The sequence below is a fragment of the Homo sapiens genome, chromosome 11 (genome assembly GCF_000001405.40).
Source record: "Homo sapiens chromosome 11, GRCh38.p14 Primary Assembly".
Classification (NCBI taxonomy): domain Eukaryota; kingdom Metazoa; phylum Chordata; class Mammalia; order Primates; family Hominidae; genus Homo; species Homo sapiens.
The window spans coordinates 118,253,091-118,268,870 of NC_000011.10; the positions used below are offsets into that span (position 1 = coordinate 118,253,091).

At 39.7% G+C, this 15,780-nt stretch overlaps 1 protein-coding gene across 3 annotated transcripts, besides 1 other annotated feature; it reads right to left on the reverse strand.

Moving 5' to 3' along the window:
• Window positions 1-325: 325 nt before the first annotated feature.
• MPZL2 (myelin protein zero like 2) lies at window positions 326-11,207 on the reverse strand. 3 transcript variants are annotated; one of them, NM_005797.4, is made up of 6 exons: window positions 11,006-11,207; window positions 9,841-10,007; window positions 9,348-9,558; window positions 6,964-7,111; window positions 4,148-4,223; window positions 326-2,143 (listed from the first exon to the last, which is right to left on the reverse strand). In NM_005797.4, the coding sequence occupies exons 1-5, from the start codon at window positions 11,061-11,063 to the stop codon at window positions 4,160-4,162; spliced, it is 648 nt and encodes a 215-aa protein (NP_005788.1). In that variant the 5' UTR covers window positions 11,064-11,207; the 3' UTR covers window positions 326-2,143; window positions 4,148-4,159. The 3 variants fall into 3 exon arrangements, with proteins under 3 accessions (NP_005788.1, NP_658911.1, XP_047282185.1); NM_144765.3 differs by lacking the exon at window positions 326-2,143 and having other exon boundaries at window positions 3,821-4,223; XM_047426229.1 differs by lacking the exons at window positions 326-2,143; window positions 4,148-4,223 and having other exon boundaries at window positions 9,412-9,558.
• Window positions 10,959-11,008: an enhancer, noted in NCBI's record as "active region_5587". NCBI's record gives its function as "activates an Ori minimal core promoter by ATAC-STARR-seq in GM12878 lymphoblastoid cells {active_cell/tissue: GM12878}" and the evidence as "EXISTENCE:reporter gene assay evidence [ECO:0000049][PMID:35858748]".
• Window positions 11,208-15,780: the final 4,573 nt, after the last annotated feature.

Here is a 15,780-nt window from a genome sequence, read left to right on the forward strand (position 1 = left end):
TTCAATTTCCATTCCTTTACTAGACTTGAAAGCCAGTAGTTTTCCCTATTAAAAGTGTAATGCAAAGTACTAAATAGAATCTTTGATACTTTTCTTTGAAAGAGCCCTCAAACTAAGTAGTGTTGTTATGCCCAATTCCCAGCTATCCAAAACAGTGTGAAAATTCTGTGGAAATCCGTATACTTCTGTTTACCCATTAGAAACTAACTGTATCCATTATTGACTTGCAGGTTGTCTCTACTAAGAAAACTTTTTGGTAAAGATTAAATATATATCCATCTGTTTTTCCTGCAATGTAGAACTTCTAGATATGTATATACACAAATTATATAACTGATAATTCTTTATTACTAAAGGTTTATTTACATAGTGTTTAAAGCATAATAAAAAATAAATTACAATACAAAAGTGCTCTTTAGGAAGGAGACACTAAACAACAGGCCCATATTACCCCTTGACTATTTAGCCAAGACATAAGCTACAAATTTTGCCGGAAAAACTGTCCATACATTTTTAACTACTTCTTCATTATTCTTATGGACCATCATCCAGGACATCTGTTTGAAGAAATATCCAGTTATAATATTTTCAAAGGTTAGAATTGTGAAGAAAAAATATAAAATGTGATTAAAGGATATATAGCCTTCAGATGTAATTTACAGTTTTAAAATTGCACTTTAAAACTTTGCTTTTTTAGACAGTATAAAAGGCAGAATGAGACAGATATGTAATGAATTTCAGAACTGAGGTTCATATGTAAATCATACAATTTTTTAAAAAATAGTATTGGAAAAATATCAAGGTCTATACATTTAAATACAGATAATCTGTTTGAAAATTCCAGTTTGTTAAAAGAAAAAACATCTGCAGTCCAGTCGATTAAAAACTGAAAATATCAATCTGTAAAGATTGATCTTGAGCCTAAACTTTTAGATGCTTTCTATCCTTTGAACAAATGCTTCTGTATCTTAAGCTTGTAACTTTTCTTTCAATAGCCCACTTATAAAGTTTGCTTTATCTACCAGTATGGGGGAAAAAAAGAATAAAGTTGGTTTTATTCCATTTAAAGTAGTTTTGGTATTTCTTTGCTCCATACCAAAGTCTTCCTCCCCCAAAATAAACAAGTGAATTAGAATTAAAAAAGAAAAAAAGTTAATAATTTCTTCTAGTTCTCAGAGTTTTATATAAAACTGTACAAAATTATCATCATTTAGAGTTGATTTTTTTCACCAGCCCTGAATTTTCAAACTTGTAATATGCTGTTTCACAATTTTTTTATTAAATTACTTAATGATTCCAGTCTGCAAATGAGCATAGACTTTGCTCTGTTGTTATAGATCATTGAATTGGGGGGGAAACATAGTAAGCTAAACTATCCGTCACTGCTCATGAAAGACCCACATTGTTGATTATTTTTCCCAGCACAGAAGAAAAGTGACAAGTGATTCATCCTGCAATGGCCTCTGCCAATCTTTTCATATCTATGTAACCTTTTGTAGTTACTGTGTGATTTAGCGTTGTGCTATTGTAAATCTTGGATTAATTAACAAAACAACAAAAATCTATCACCTGGAATATTGAAAGAAATTCAGTAAAACAAGATGTGTCTCATAGTTAAGGAGAGACATAAAAATAAAAATGTCATTTAACAGTTTGAATTTAGGATTTACTGTTAATCAGAAACACCGAGGAGGCTTAGCTCACCTTTTAATTGAGAATGTGGGAAGGAAAGAGAGTAAACACATTAACTTTAGTAGCAGAAGTGCTGCTAAAAGAAATACGTGAAAGGAAATGTAACAGACAAATTGGCTTTTATCCCTTTTGATACCAATATATGTGTATACAAGTCATAACACTGTAAGTAGTGTCTTAAGGGCAAAAATGTAGCTTCTTGTTTATAAAACCTAATGAGCACTTGAAAAAATTTACACTCTGAAATTAAATAAGACCTTAATAATGAGGCTGTGTATGACTGGTGATATGGAGGAGCACTGTGCTGGCTCCAGAGGGGTGTTGCTTGTCTAGAATCTAATATGCTGCAGAACTGGTTGGAAAACGGGTCACAACTGGAAAAGCCAAAGAAAAGTTTCCATTAACTTCAAGAAATACTAGGGTTCTTGTTCTTGGAAATCATCTCAGCTTCCTAAAACACAAAACAAAAGTTTAAATGGATAATATATTTGAGAAGAGTACAATAGGAATACTTGGCATTATGAATTACATATATGTTATTAGAAGGAAAATATTCTGAGGGAAAGTATTCATATTCTCCCCCAATTTAATTTTTAAAAGAAGTTTCCTAATCCTTATTACATAATTTTCAGAGTTAGTATCCTTAAATCATGGCCTCTAAGTACCTTGCATGGACACTTGGATGACCCACAACTTGTTCACACACATACATCCCATATTCTCCCCACTTCTCACTCTCATTACAAACAAAATCAGACATATAGAAAAGTAGAGAACAGAGTATGTGGAATTTACCCATCCCTTAAATTCATTAATTCATTCTTTTCTTTTCTTTTCTCCCCTCATCTCCCCCATCACCTAATTCTGAAGCCTTTTTTGTTTTATTTGCTTTTTTCCTATGCTTTTAAAGTAAATTGCTGACATTTACCCCAATACTCCAGTAAGAATTTTTCAAAATAGGTACATTTTCTTTATAACTACAATACCATCACTATACCTAATACAAACTAACAATAATTCCCTAATATTATCCATATATTTAACATTTTCATATTCAAGACTTTCCCAATTGCCCCTCCAAGCTTGTTTTTACAACTAGCTTGTTCACACTATTATTCATCCAGTTGGGGATCACACATTGCACTTTGATTGTGTTCATCTCTTAAGTTTCTTTTGATCTAAAACATCTCCCATATTTATTTTCCATGACCCCAAGTTGTTAGATAATCCCCTTAACTTTAAAAAGACAATAGCCGTTGGTTGGTAAAAACTCCCTAATGTTAATTTTGGTTTTCTGGTTTTACAATACAATCATTTTACTCCATATTCTATTTTATAAATCCTTGAGGTCTTTCACTGGAGCTTTAGCCTATAAAAATGTGACCCTCTTTGCAACTAATAACGGTCTGTAAAAAATGTTCTCCCGTGTAACAGAGCCAGAGTTTTACAGGATAAAGTCATTAATATCAAGAACTTTCTTATGAGCGTAAAATTTAAGTTTGCATGTCCGGATTTATAACATCTAGAAATTAAATGTGTGGACCTATTTCAGAGAATGGGAGAAATTCTGAGCATATGAAAAATAAATTGGCCCGGCGCAGTGGCTTATGCCTGTAATCCCAACACTTTGGGAGGCTGAGGCAGGTGGATCGCTTGAGCTCAGGTGAGACCAGCCTAGGCAACATGGGGAAACCCCGTCTCTACAAAAAGTACAAAAATTAGCTGGGTGTAGTGGCGCGCACCTGTGGTCCCAGCTACTTGGGAGGCTGAGGTAGGAGGATCACTTGAGCTTGGGAGGGAGAAGTTGCAGTGACCCGAGATCGCACCACTACACCCTAGCCTGGGCAACAGGTTGAGACCCTGTCTCAAAAACAAAGACAAGAAAAATAAATTATCCTACTTTTTAAGCCTGATGAACCTGAAAACTGGAAAAATAAAATTATACGCTACTAAAACTGGATTCATTTCATGTAGTTATTAGTGCCAATAACTAAATGAGAGGAGTTGAAATCAATTCCAAATAGTACAAAAGCTCTCCTGTAAAAACTGCCAGATATGTCTATTGAGTCACTCTCTTAATACCATAATTGGTTTACAATTAAAAAAAAAGAATAAGCAGATACTAATCTTTTGATTTAAAAAAGATTTATTTACTTGTTGAATATTTATTAGTAGTAGTAGTAATAAATATAACCCCGAAGCCACAAATAACCTTAGGATTCTCTCAGCTTTAATGGCAGTAGAGTCCAGCTTCTTAATCTTTTGCACAAAATACACTCAAGGAGGAGCTATCCATAAGACTAATAGAAGACTTTTGTCTCCCTGACCCAGCTCCTCTAATTTCATATGGGAAACACCTAACAGCCATAAAGTGATGATCTGGGAGTCCTCATTAGAGATGGGCTGGACATGTCAGAAAGCTGAAGAAAGAAATCAACCTATTTGTGAACCTTACCATCTAAAATTGTTAGTCTGTGTCTTCTAAATAAACAGAGACCTTTTTCTCTTGGTTGAGCCTTTCCTCTTCTTTTCTGTAACAAGCAGAAACCAAATGTCAGGTGAACAAGACAAGAAGCAAGTGGGTAAATCCCACAGAAGCTTCAGGTAAGGTATTTTTCCCCCATATTTTTGGAAGAATTACATGCACTTGGGAGTAGATTGAAGTTTACACAGAGCTAAACTGGTGCCATCTAATTAATAATATTCACACCTCTGAACTTAGAGACTTTTCAGAATGTAAGGGAATACAGTTTGGGTTCTGATTCGGGAACTCCAGAGTTTTAAAGCAGACACCTTATTTTACCATTAGTATCCCACCTCTAATTTATATTTGTTATTCAAAAAAAAAATAAAAAGTTTTGTGTTGACCTAAGTCATCTTTATTGGTTCTATTCAAACTAGAACCTCAGAGTTGGGTTTGTTAGGCTTCTTAAAATTAGTTCTGTTTCGCCAGGCGCGGTGGCTCACGCTGTAATCCCAACACTTTGGAAGGCCAAGGCAGGTACATCACTTGAGATCAGGAGTTCAAGACCAGCCTGACCAACATGGTGAAACCCCATCTCTACTAAAAATACAAAATTAGCTGGGCATGGTGGTACATGCCTGTAATCCCAGCTACTTGGGAAGCTGAGGCAAGAGAATCGCTTGAACCCAGGAGGCGGAGGTTGCAGTGAGCTGAGATCATGCCATTGCACTCCAGCCTGGGCAACCAGAGTGAAAGTCTGTCTCAAAAAAAAAAAAGGCTGTTTATTTCATTAAATATTTATTAAGGAAATGAGATAAATGGTGCTGGAACAACTAGATATCCACATGCAAAAGAGTGAATTTGGACTTCTGCCTCAGCCATATACGAAAACGAACTCAAAGATCTAAATGTAAAAATTAAGACTATAAAACTCTTAGAAGAAAACATAGCCATAAATCTTCATGATCTTGGGGATTAGGCAGTGGTTTTTTAGATGAGACACAAAAGCACTAGCAGCAAAAGAGAAAAAATAAACTGGACTTCATCAAAATTTAACTTTTGTTCTTCAAAGGACACTATGAAGAACATGAAAAGACAACCCACAGAATGGGAAAAAAATTGCAAGTTGTATATCTGATAAGGAACTAGTATCCCTTAAATAACTCTTACAGTTCAACAAGAATAAGTGAAATAATGTACCCCATATTAAAATGGGCAAACTCTGAATGTATGCATCTCCAAATAAGATATACAAATGGACAATAAGAACATGGGAAGATGCTCAACATCAAGTCATTAGAAAAATGCAAATCAAAACCCCAATGAGATACCACTTCACATCCACTAGATGGCTTCATATAGTTTGGGTATTTGTCCCCGCCCAAATCTCATGTTGAATTGTAATCTGCATTGCTAGAGGTGGGGCCTGGTGGAGGGTGTTTGGGTCATGGGAGCAGATCTCTCATGGCTTGGTGCTGTCTTCAATAGTGAGTGAGTTCTCACAAAATCTGGTCATATAAAACTATGTAGCACCTCCCCCCAACTCTCTCACTTTCTCCTGCTCTCACCATGCAAAATTCCTGCTCCCATTGTGCCTTCTGCCATCGGTAAAAGCTCCCTGAGGCCTCCTCAGGAGCCAACCAACATCGGCGCCATGCTTGTACATCCACAGAACCGTGAGCCAATTAAATCTCTTTATAAATTACCCAGTCTTAGGGGTTTTTTTATATAGCAACACAAGAATGGCCTAATACACGGTTATGATTAAAAAAAAAAAAGACAATGAGTGTTGAGGAGGATGGGGAGAAATCAGAACCCTCATATATTGCTGACAGGAATGCAAAATAGTCCAGCTGTTTAAAGACAGTCTGGCAATTCCTCCAAAAACTAAACAGAGTTACCATAAGACCCAACAATTCCACTTTTAGGAGAATTAAAAACATATGATCTACACAAAAGCTTGTAAATGAATGTTTATAGCAGCATTAGTCACAACAGCCAACAAGCAGAAAAAACCTAAATGCCCATCAATTGAATGGACAAACAATATGTGGTATATTCATACAATGGAATATTATGCAGTCATAAAAAGGAAAGAAATACTAATACATCAACAAGGATGAGCCTTGAAAGCATTATGCTAAGTGAAAGAAGCTGGGCATAAAAGACCACATATTGTATGATTCTATTTAAATGAAATGTCCAGAATAAGCAAATCCATAGAGACAGAAAGTAGATGAGTAGTTGTCGGGGGCTGGTAGGAGGGGATAATAGGGAGTGATAGCTAGGGATATGGGGTTTCTTTACGGGAGGGAGCTTAAAAACGTTCTGCAATTAGTGATGATTGCTGCACAACTTTGTGAAAATGAAAAAGGTAAATTTTATGGTGGGTAAATTTTATCTCAATTTTAAAATACATTTAATGAACACCTGCTATCAGCACAACAGACTTTCCTAAGCCCTGACTCATAGTGGCCCTGCTGACTGCCTAGCCCAGTGGTTTTTACAAATGTATGCTTCACTTTAAACATAAGGGATTTTTTAGAAAAGCTTTACATAGCACATTTTTGTAAAATCAACCCCCCCACATAGTAAAGAAATCCCATAAGGAAATATTTTGTAAAATTAAGAAAGCTTTTGTAAAGTTACTAGTTCATACCTGATTTATCTGTCCTGCAAATGTGAATTCTTTTATATAGGATTTACTTAAAGGGAAAAACATCTGTTCAGCAACTATTTAGCCCACTGCAAAATACCAAGAGTCGCCATAAGAGTGTTAGAACTTTCCCAGAACTGCCCAGCCTTACGATTTTATCTCCACCACTTTATGAGCTCTTTCGGCCCATCGCTTTTTCCGGTAATGCTGGAAGAGGACCACTACAATTACTATTATGATCATCAGTGCACAGGCAGAGCCAATGGCCAGAGCCAGGAAGTGGATCTCAGAGAAGCGTACTGTAAGGAGAAAAAGATTAAATTAGGATTCTAAAAAGAAGAGGACTACAATGAAATCTAATGACATAATAGGGATGCATTTAATCAATAGATGGAATCTTCCTTTATCCTACCTTTATGCATAAAATAATATATTACCTTGTGAATCCTACTAGCAATAGGAAAACCATACACATACTTTAATGGTTCTCAAAGTGTGGTCTTCGAAGTAACAGCAACAATATCACTTGAGAACATGGAAATCTTAGGCCCCACCCCAGACCTACTGAATTAGAAACACTAGAGGTGCGGCTGAGCAATCTGTGTCTTAACAGGTCCTCCAGGTGATTCTGATGCAGCTTTGAAAACCACTGGGTGGGTTGAACTACTTATGGGGTAAGGTTTTTGCTAACCTCATCAAACGTAGTGCCCAACCCATTTCTCCCTGACTTCTCACCACTTTCACTCAGTCAGTTATTTATTCAGATTTATTAAGGGCCTACTACATTCCTGGCACTGTGATAGAAATGCTGAGCCAAAAAAGACATCACCTTCAAGGAGCTCATGCCACTGAGAGGATAGGAAAGTAAATCAGAAGCTACAGTCTAGTGGATAAATGATGGAAAAGGGAAACCAGAGGGAAGGTCCCCTAAGCCACACTAGAGTCTGTGAACCCTGGTTTTCTTGTCCTTTAGCTTTATTTCTGATTATACTTCCATAAGCCCTCAGAGCCAGAAAGGACATTAGAGAATGTCTAGCCCAGGATTCCCAGCCTTGACTCCATGAAGGAGGATGGGGAAGAGGATGGAAGGTAGTCTGCAAGCCCACAGAATCCAAGTCTCATTTTGTATGTCTCCACTGTTTTATGGGAAGCAGGGCCATGGCTTTTATTTGATTCTCAAAGAATAATTATCCACATATATTTAAGAACCACTGATTTTTTGTGTGTTTAACCTCTTCATTGTGCAGATGAAGAAACTGAGGTCCAAAACCATTACATTATTTCTTTCAATACTCAAATGACTTCTGCAAGGTCACACAGCCCTCTATTGGTGGGGCATTGAGAAATGGTTTTAAACTGTACTATGAATGAAAGGAAATCGTACCACTGCACAGGCTTATATGTTTGGAGTAGTGTTGGTTAAGAGCACACACCAGAGAGCACTAGGTTGAAATACTTAGCTGTGTGATTTGAAGTAATTAACTTCTTTGAGCCTCAGTTTCCTCATGTATAAACAGAGATAATGATATTCATTTCTTGAGTTCTTAATAAAAAATAAAATAATTCATGTAAGTTGTTCCTTGCTGTGCCTGTACAAAATAAACACTCAATGTATGGTAGCTGTTAAGTACAATTCAGAGGTTGGGACATATTCACATTTATTATCTCATTTTATCCTCACTGTGATCCTTACTGTGTTATTCTCACTTTACAGATGAGGAAAATAAGACTTATTGATAGCTGGTAAATGGTAGCAATGACTCAAACCCAGATCTACAATTCATAAGTTTCGTGTACTTTGCTCTTTGTTGCTTGGCATGGTTTTCCAGATTGTCCTTTATAGGGATGCAGACAATACAATGCACCAATTTAGAGCACAGTTTTAGATTCAAAGTTGATTGGGTTTGAGTCCTAAGTTACTCCATTTATCAGCTACGTGACTCAGGGCAAATGACTTAACCTCTGTGAGCCTCGTTTCCTCATTGGCAAGATGGGAGGCATTAAATGCACAATAAACTGATGAGATATGTAAAGATTAAATAAAATGTGTCATGTAAAGCCCCTGACATTTGGGAAGTACTCAGTAAGTGTTAGCTCCCATCATTAGTACCTGCCTCCTAGAGTGGTGTGGGGATTCAATGAGATAGTGTATGTCATGCACTTTTGACGGTGCCTAGCATTAGAGTAGGTACTCAATAAGTATCTCGAATAAATGAGTGAGTGAACAGACCTGTTGTAAGCCTTTCATCAAAGAATTGCTCCCTCTCCCTTTCACAATCTCAATGCCATTTTTGTAACGGATTCTCTGAGTTCCTTTGCTTTACTTTCTGTTTCTTTCCACAGCCAAACAAAGCCTTTCTCTTTTTACCCCAGAACTCTTCGGTCTCCCTCTGAGGCTCCCAGTTCTGAAGGGCTAGTCCCTCTCTCTATCCATCACAAAAGATTGTCCCTCTCTCTCAGCCTTAACAAAGATTGCCCCTTTCTTTTCTACAAGCTCTCATCCTTTCCAAAACCACTGTTCCCTGCATAACCTACCAGTGTGCACGACGCTGAGCCGGATCTCCCCTATCACCCCATCAACATCAGGTGGGTTCTTCACCTGGCAGGTGTATGTCCCATTGTCGTCGAACTGCAGTTTCCAGAGAAGGATGGAGGCATCGTACCGCTCAGGATTCCCATCCCAAGACACCCGGTCCTTAAACCGCCCACTCATGGGTTGGAAGGGATCTATGTGGTAGTAGAATACCTAGAGAGGGGAAATGGCAAAAGGTCTTCTTACTCAGCACCCAGGCAAGGAGGCCAAGATGGTGGGAGCGGAAGTGAAACACCAGCAAACCCAACTGTCCTGTCTGCAGCTCTGTCACTTGCTTTCCCCTTCAACGGCCTCTCAGTCTCTGTCCCAAGAATTGTTTCCGAGCTTAACCTTGTGCTTGCTGCTAAGAAAAATACTGGAAGGGAAAGGAGAAATGGACTGGCTTATTATTTCCCTAAACAAGAGTACCCTGGAAAATGATGATAATCTACTTACAAACTGCTCAGGTCCCCCGTCTAGAGGACGAAAATTCCAGGTCACTGTTAGAGCATCACCCACAGGGGCAAAGCTGGAGAAAGTGCATTTTAACCGAGCATCTGTCCCATTAACAGCCTCCAGCACCCGGGAGGTATAAATTTCCACAGCTGCTATAGGCCAAAGAGCTGCAATGAAAAAGAAGAAAAAGAAGGGTTAACAGGGGATGTAGTATTGTGAGAACTTCTGCTGACACTTCCAAAATAAATATCTGAGTAGGACTTAAAGTAAAGTGAAACTGAGATGCCCCATCTCCCAAACTTACTTCACCCAGAATCTACATACTCCTACCTGTATGCAGCCTGGACCCTCCCATTCCATGTGACAACTAAACTACCACACAGCAAGCCTTCGCAGTGCTTTTACTTTCTCCACAGCATTAAAGCCTCGCCTCGTGGTACTGACTTCAAAACTGTTATAACAAACTACAAACATCCGCAAATAGAATTGAAAGCATAAACAAAAAATTAAAATGAATCATAACATTGATTAGACATTACATTATGTATTAAGGTTAAGCATTATGTGTTGTATGTAAAGTGGTCTCCTAGCAGGTAAGTTTTCCAGATGGGTCCTTAGGTGGATTTCATACTGTTACTAGTCTATTGCAGAAACTGAATTAATCAACTCCAGACAGCTTATGTTTGCCTGCACCCCTAGAACCTTTGTACCACGTGGCATTTTTTTAAACTTGATATTTACATTTAGAATGTGTGTGTTGGGGCACTTTCAAAATCACAGTAGGTCTCTCTCTAACAATCTCCACTTTCCTGGTGTTGCTGAGAGTCACAGACAAGACCCACACACAGAAATCCAAATGCCAAGTCCTGCCAGCAGTGGGAGGTTGAGAACAGCCACACACAAAAAAATGGCATGTAACCTGAGATTAGAAAGCCCTCTCTGTGCCTGAATCACTGGCAGCTGAACACACCTAAACCTGTTTGTCCGAGAGCAGTTCTCCAAAAACAGTCCACCAACTTTGGTTTCAGTAAAACCCAAAGTAAAACAAACTGTATCTGTGGCTCAGGCTCCCAAACAAAAGTCTTGCAACTTCTAAGACAATTAGCTAACTTTATAGAGTGAGCAGTGAAGGAGGAAACTCTGAGAGAAGCCCGCCGGCTCTTACCTGTGAGCTGTATGCCAAGGAGAAGAAGCACCGCACGAGTAGAGCTCTTGCCATACATGAGGGAAACCCAGCCTTGGCCCCAGAGACCGGACGGGGCAGACCGAGGGCTCCAACACCCTGCCAAGGCCACTCCGGGAGGAGCAAGCACCGCGTTTTCCCAGAGAGAGGAGTTTGAGTTGAGTTCCTCACCTGTGCCTGTGACTCAGCCCGCTCTGCCTGTGCACTTTTCTGAAATGAAAGGTGGGGCCTCAGCTCCCAATGCCCTCCTTCCTTTCCTCTCTCCCGCCCTCTACACGAACGAGCATGAGCACGTCTGCACAAAGGTCCCAAACTCCCGCAGTCCTCTCTTTACTTTCAGTTAATCTGACTGGGCTCTGGCCTCTAGATGGCCTCGGAAACAGCCAGAGGAGGTGGTGCCAGTCTGAAATGTCCCAGACTGTTATGGGTTTGGCCCCCACACGCCCTTTTAAAACAGGCTTTAGGCTTGCCTGGGAAGTGAATGTTGAAACTGTCCTGCAGTGATTCCACTTCTCAAAGCACCACCCCAGGGCCACATTCACTTGGGACTGGATTCGATACAATTTCAAAACGGGAGTCGGAATTCCTTAGGACCCTCTGTGGACAAAAAGCTGATACCCCTGTTACCACAAGGATTCCTGCACTTCTTCTAGTTTGTAGCTTTCCAGGAGACCTGGCAGAAACAACAAATCAAATCTCCATGCTTAACAATCCTTTACCTTTGAAGACTTTAAAAACAAATGAGGACACCATCCCTGCTCATTCACCCTGCCATCCGAGTGCAATCTACAAAGTGCTCTCCTGCTGATTGTTTCATCTCCATTAACGCCCTTGTGAAGCATTCCCATTCTACCAGTGAGGACGCTAAGAACCCGAGGAAGGTAAATGATTTGCCCAAGGTTGCACAGCTACCATGTGGCAAAACCAGAACTTTTCTTAAAAATCTAGCGTTCTTTCCACCAAATAACAGCTAATATGAACAATCAGACATGGGGCTCTCAAGGAAAAGGTTTTCATGATAACTTTGTTGTGCCTCGGATTTCATCTGTCATTTTTTGAATAGCTAAATGACTGAGAAGTCTAAAGAGCTGAGGAATCTAAACGAGAAAAGATGCCTCCTTGTCTGGAAAGAGGGTGGGTCATCTTTACAGATTAATGAAGCGGCACAGAAACATCGGTAGGAGGGGGATGAAGATTACACATGCAGTTAAGAAGTAGGCTGGGCTGGGAATCTAACCCTGAAAAAAGACAGATTGCGTTTATCCCTGGATTAGCAGTCTAGAAACTCTTCAGTCACTCATAAAATCTTCTAGCTGAATCCAGAGCAGAAAGGGTGGCAGGAACAAGAGAAGGCGGCAGGCTGAGTAGAAAAAAATAAAACATCATAAAGAGGGAAGAAAAGAGAAAATTCTACCAAAAGAGAGGAGAATGCAGAAGTGCAGAAAACAGAAAGCAACAGGAGAAAGATGACATGGGCATGGAGCAAAAACAGGTAGACAACCACAAAAATCCATTGTGTTGGAACTCAGAAAGCAGAGGTGGCCCCAAATGCAGACCAGCTGTGTGCTAGTGAAAATCTGTTGCATGGTGAGAGTTTCTGAAAACTGTGTGGCGTCTTTGTCAGATTCTAGTTCAGAAAGGGACCTAAAATCAGTCTGCTGGGGGAACCTTTCAGATGTTGGTGAGGAAGGATAAGATACAGCCTTTCTGGTATGTAGGTCAGAAGAGTTCAGCTCCAGGACCCTGAAAGAAAAAGAGTTAAGGAAACTTGATCTTGGTTGGCTTCCAACTTTGCAGGGAAATACAGCTACAGAGGAAGGAGAGGTAGAGCCAGGATTTTGAAGTCTACAGCAAATTGCAAAAACTGGTGAGAGGTAGAGTTACCAAAGAGCTCAGGGATGCAGTGAAAAGCAACAGGAGAAGAATCAGGGCAGGAAGAACTGAACAAACTGCCTGTTGTCAGGAGCAGAAATCCCTCCCCCAGGTAGCCAAACACCCATGAGCTGGTTGCCAGCCTTGCTCTGAGGGGCAGGAGTTATCCAGATCCCACTTCTCAGCTGAGTTCAAGTTCCTGGCTTAGTGCCTGGCAACGCCCAGTTCCTTCCAGTTAGCAGGAGTGGCTCCACAGTCAACCACTTCACCTCACTGGGCAAGGAAGAGGCCAAGGGTAGAAGGTTAAGAAGAGAAAATGCTAAATAAAAAGGATGTTTGCCCCTCACAGTTTTCTGGACACCAGTCAGCAGGACTTAGACCAAAACTGCAGGCATCTACATAAGGCCTAAGTTATGTTTGTGCCCAGGCAAATGGAAGGAAAGGAAGAGGAGTTCTGGAAATTGAAAAGAAGAAAAGTAAAGTTTTCAGAGACACCATTTTCTTTCTAAACTTTTCCAGAGAAAGATCCTGATTGTCATTTAAAATTGTGACATACCAATAGTTTTTGAAAGAATCTCATCTGTCCCATCCATCTACACATTTCCCAAAAAATGATTTCTAGTGAGTATCTAGACCTTAGCCAGCAGGAGACTCACTGGGGGCTCAGGAGACAGAAGGGACAGTGGGCCTGTATCAATATTTGTAAAAGTTGTCTTTCTCAACCTCCTAGGCAAAAATCTTTTTTTCACCTAAGGTGAAATTAGCATTCTGTGAAGCAAGGAAAACAAATAATTTAGCTCTTAGGGTCATCAAATAAAGCATTCGTTTACTCAAAAGTGTCTGTTCATATGTTTTTACTAGAAAAAATTCAGACATACATAGAATATTTCTACCTGGGAGGAAATAATATAAGATAGGAAGGTGAAGTAAACAAATAATTATCACTTTCTTGATTTTTAAATTCAATCCTTAAAGGATGAATAGGAATTCTGGAAAGAGGATAAACAAAGTCCTTCCCATTGGAACAAATGGGTGGGAATGTGGTACCCACAGGGACTAGCATGCAATTCCTCAAACCTGGAGCACAGGGAGGAGTGGCAGGCCAGGTGAGAGGCTAGGTCCACCTGGGCAGTGCCCTCATCCACCATCCTAAGGAGTGTGGACTTGATCCTAACAAATATACCCATTGGGGATGGCTAATATGTGACCCAAGAAGAGCATCCCTAGAAGTAGAATTACTTTGGTATTTCCCAGAACCATTAAAAACAAGAAGGAAAGTCTTGGGACACCAACGACCACTTACTCTCCTGGCTTTCGTTTGGGCTCCTGGCTTATGAGCCAGAATGAAAGTGTAGACCTAACATCTGTTTTCCAAAGACTCAGGGACTCCCAGCCTTCCCCAACCAACAACTCCAATCTCTAGCATCCTTTGTCAAAACTTCCCCGGGTTAAGGGAGCTTTTCAAAGATGAGAGAGGGAGGCTAGGCTGTCAAGAGTCCTAGATGAGAGGTGGGCTCTTAGCCCAAAGGAATAGTTGTGTTCCCTGTGGCCCTCCTTCTTGCCTGAAGTTTCCTAGAGATATTCCAAAACAGGTCTGGGCCTGAAACTGAGCCTCTATGAGTTTAGAAAAATCGTGGGAGGGAACGCTTTCCTGCCCCACCTCATTACAGCTGATATGCACCTCTCCAATAAGCCTCAGGCTCCTCTGGTAATTATAGAGGACAGGCACCATGCCCTTATTAACCAGCCCAAAGAAGAGACTCTGAAGTGGTTTAACGCTTCACTTATTCTCAAGGGAAGCTACATAGATTGTGCAGGGCTAGAGAGATGGGGCATTTTTGAAGATAACTTTAAGGAACCTCTCGGGAGGATAAAGGGATCTTGATAAATGAATTTATCTACCTCCCTGTTAACCATACACACCACATTTAAATGGTGGTAAGAATTTACATTATACTGTGTTTATTGATGAACACTGCATCTTTTATTATTGTTCCAGTTATCTCTTGTTAAAATTGGTTACCATGACCAATTTTTTATTCTTAGGGAGTTAATTAATTTCCTGAGAAAAGAAATAGCCACTTTTTTTTTTTTTTTTTTTTTTTTTGCTACTATATTCTAGGAGGCATGAGGTATAGGAGCTAGAGTTCAACCTGCCTAGATCCAGATCCAAGCTCAGCTGCTTACTAGCTATGTGACCTTGGGCAGTTATTTAACTCTCCGTGCTTCAGTTATCTCACATGTAAAATGGGAACAGTAACATTTACCCCATAGTCTGGATGTAAGAATCAAGTGACGTACATTAACTAAAGCTCTATGCTCAGCACCCACACAAAACATTCAGTAAATTTTAGTTGTTTGTGGCTATACTTAGTTAAGATGTTTGGGAAAAGGGCTGGCAGTTTCTTATGAAGCTAAACACTCAGCCACCCTGGCAATTCCACTCCAAGATGAATGAAATTATATATACAGAAAGATATTTGTAGGAGAATAATCATGGAAGCTTTATTCATAATAGCCCAAAACTGGAACAGCCCAGGGATCCATCAACAGAAAAATGGATCCTCTGTAGAATATTCATATCGTGAATCCTACTCAGCAATTAAAAGGAACAAATCACTGATACATATCACCACGATGAACCTCAAAAGTAAGTTGAACAAATTAGCCAGACACAAACAGTATAAACTCTTTGATTCCATTTATATGAAGTTCTAGAACAGGCAAAACTACCTTGTCATGAAAAAAGTATAAAAGTAGTGTTTGCCCCTGGGGGAATGGGGGCAGGGATTGACTGGAGGGGCATGAGAGAACTTTCTAGAGTGATATTAATGTTCTTCATCTTGACAAGGGTTTGAGTTACCGCTTGCCAAAACCCTTTGAAT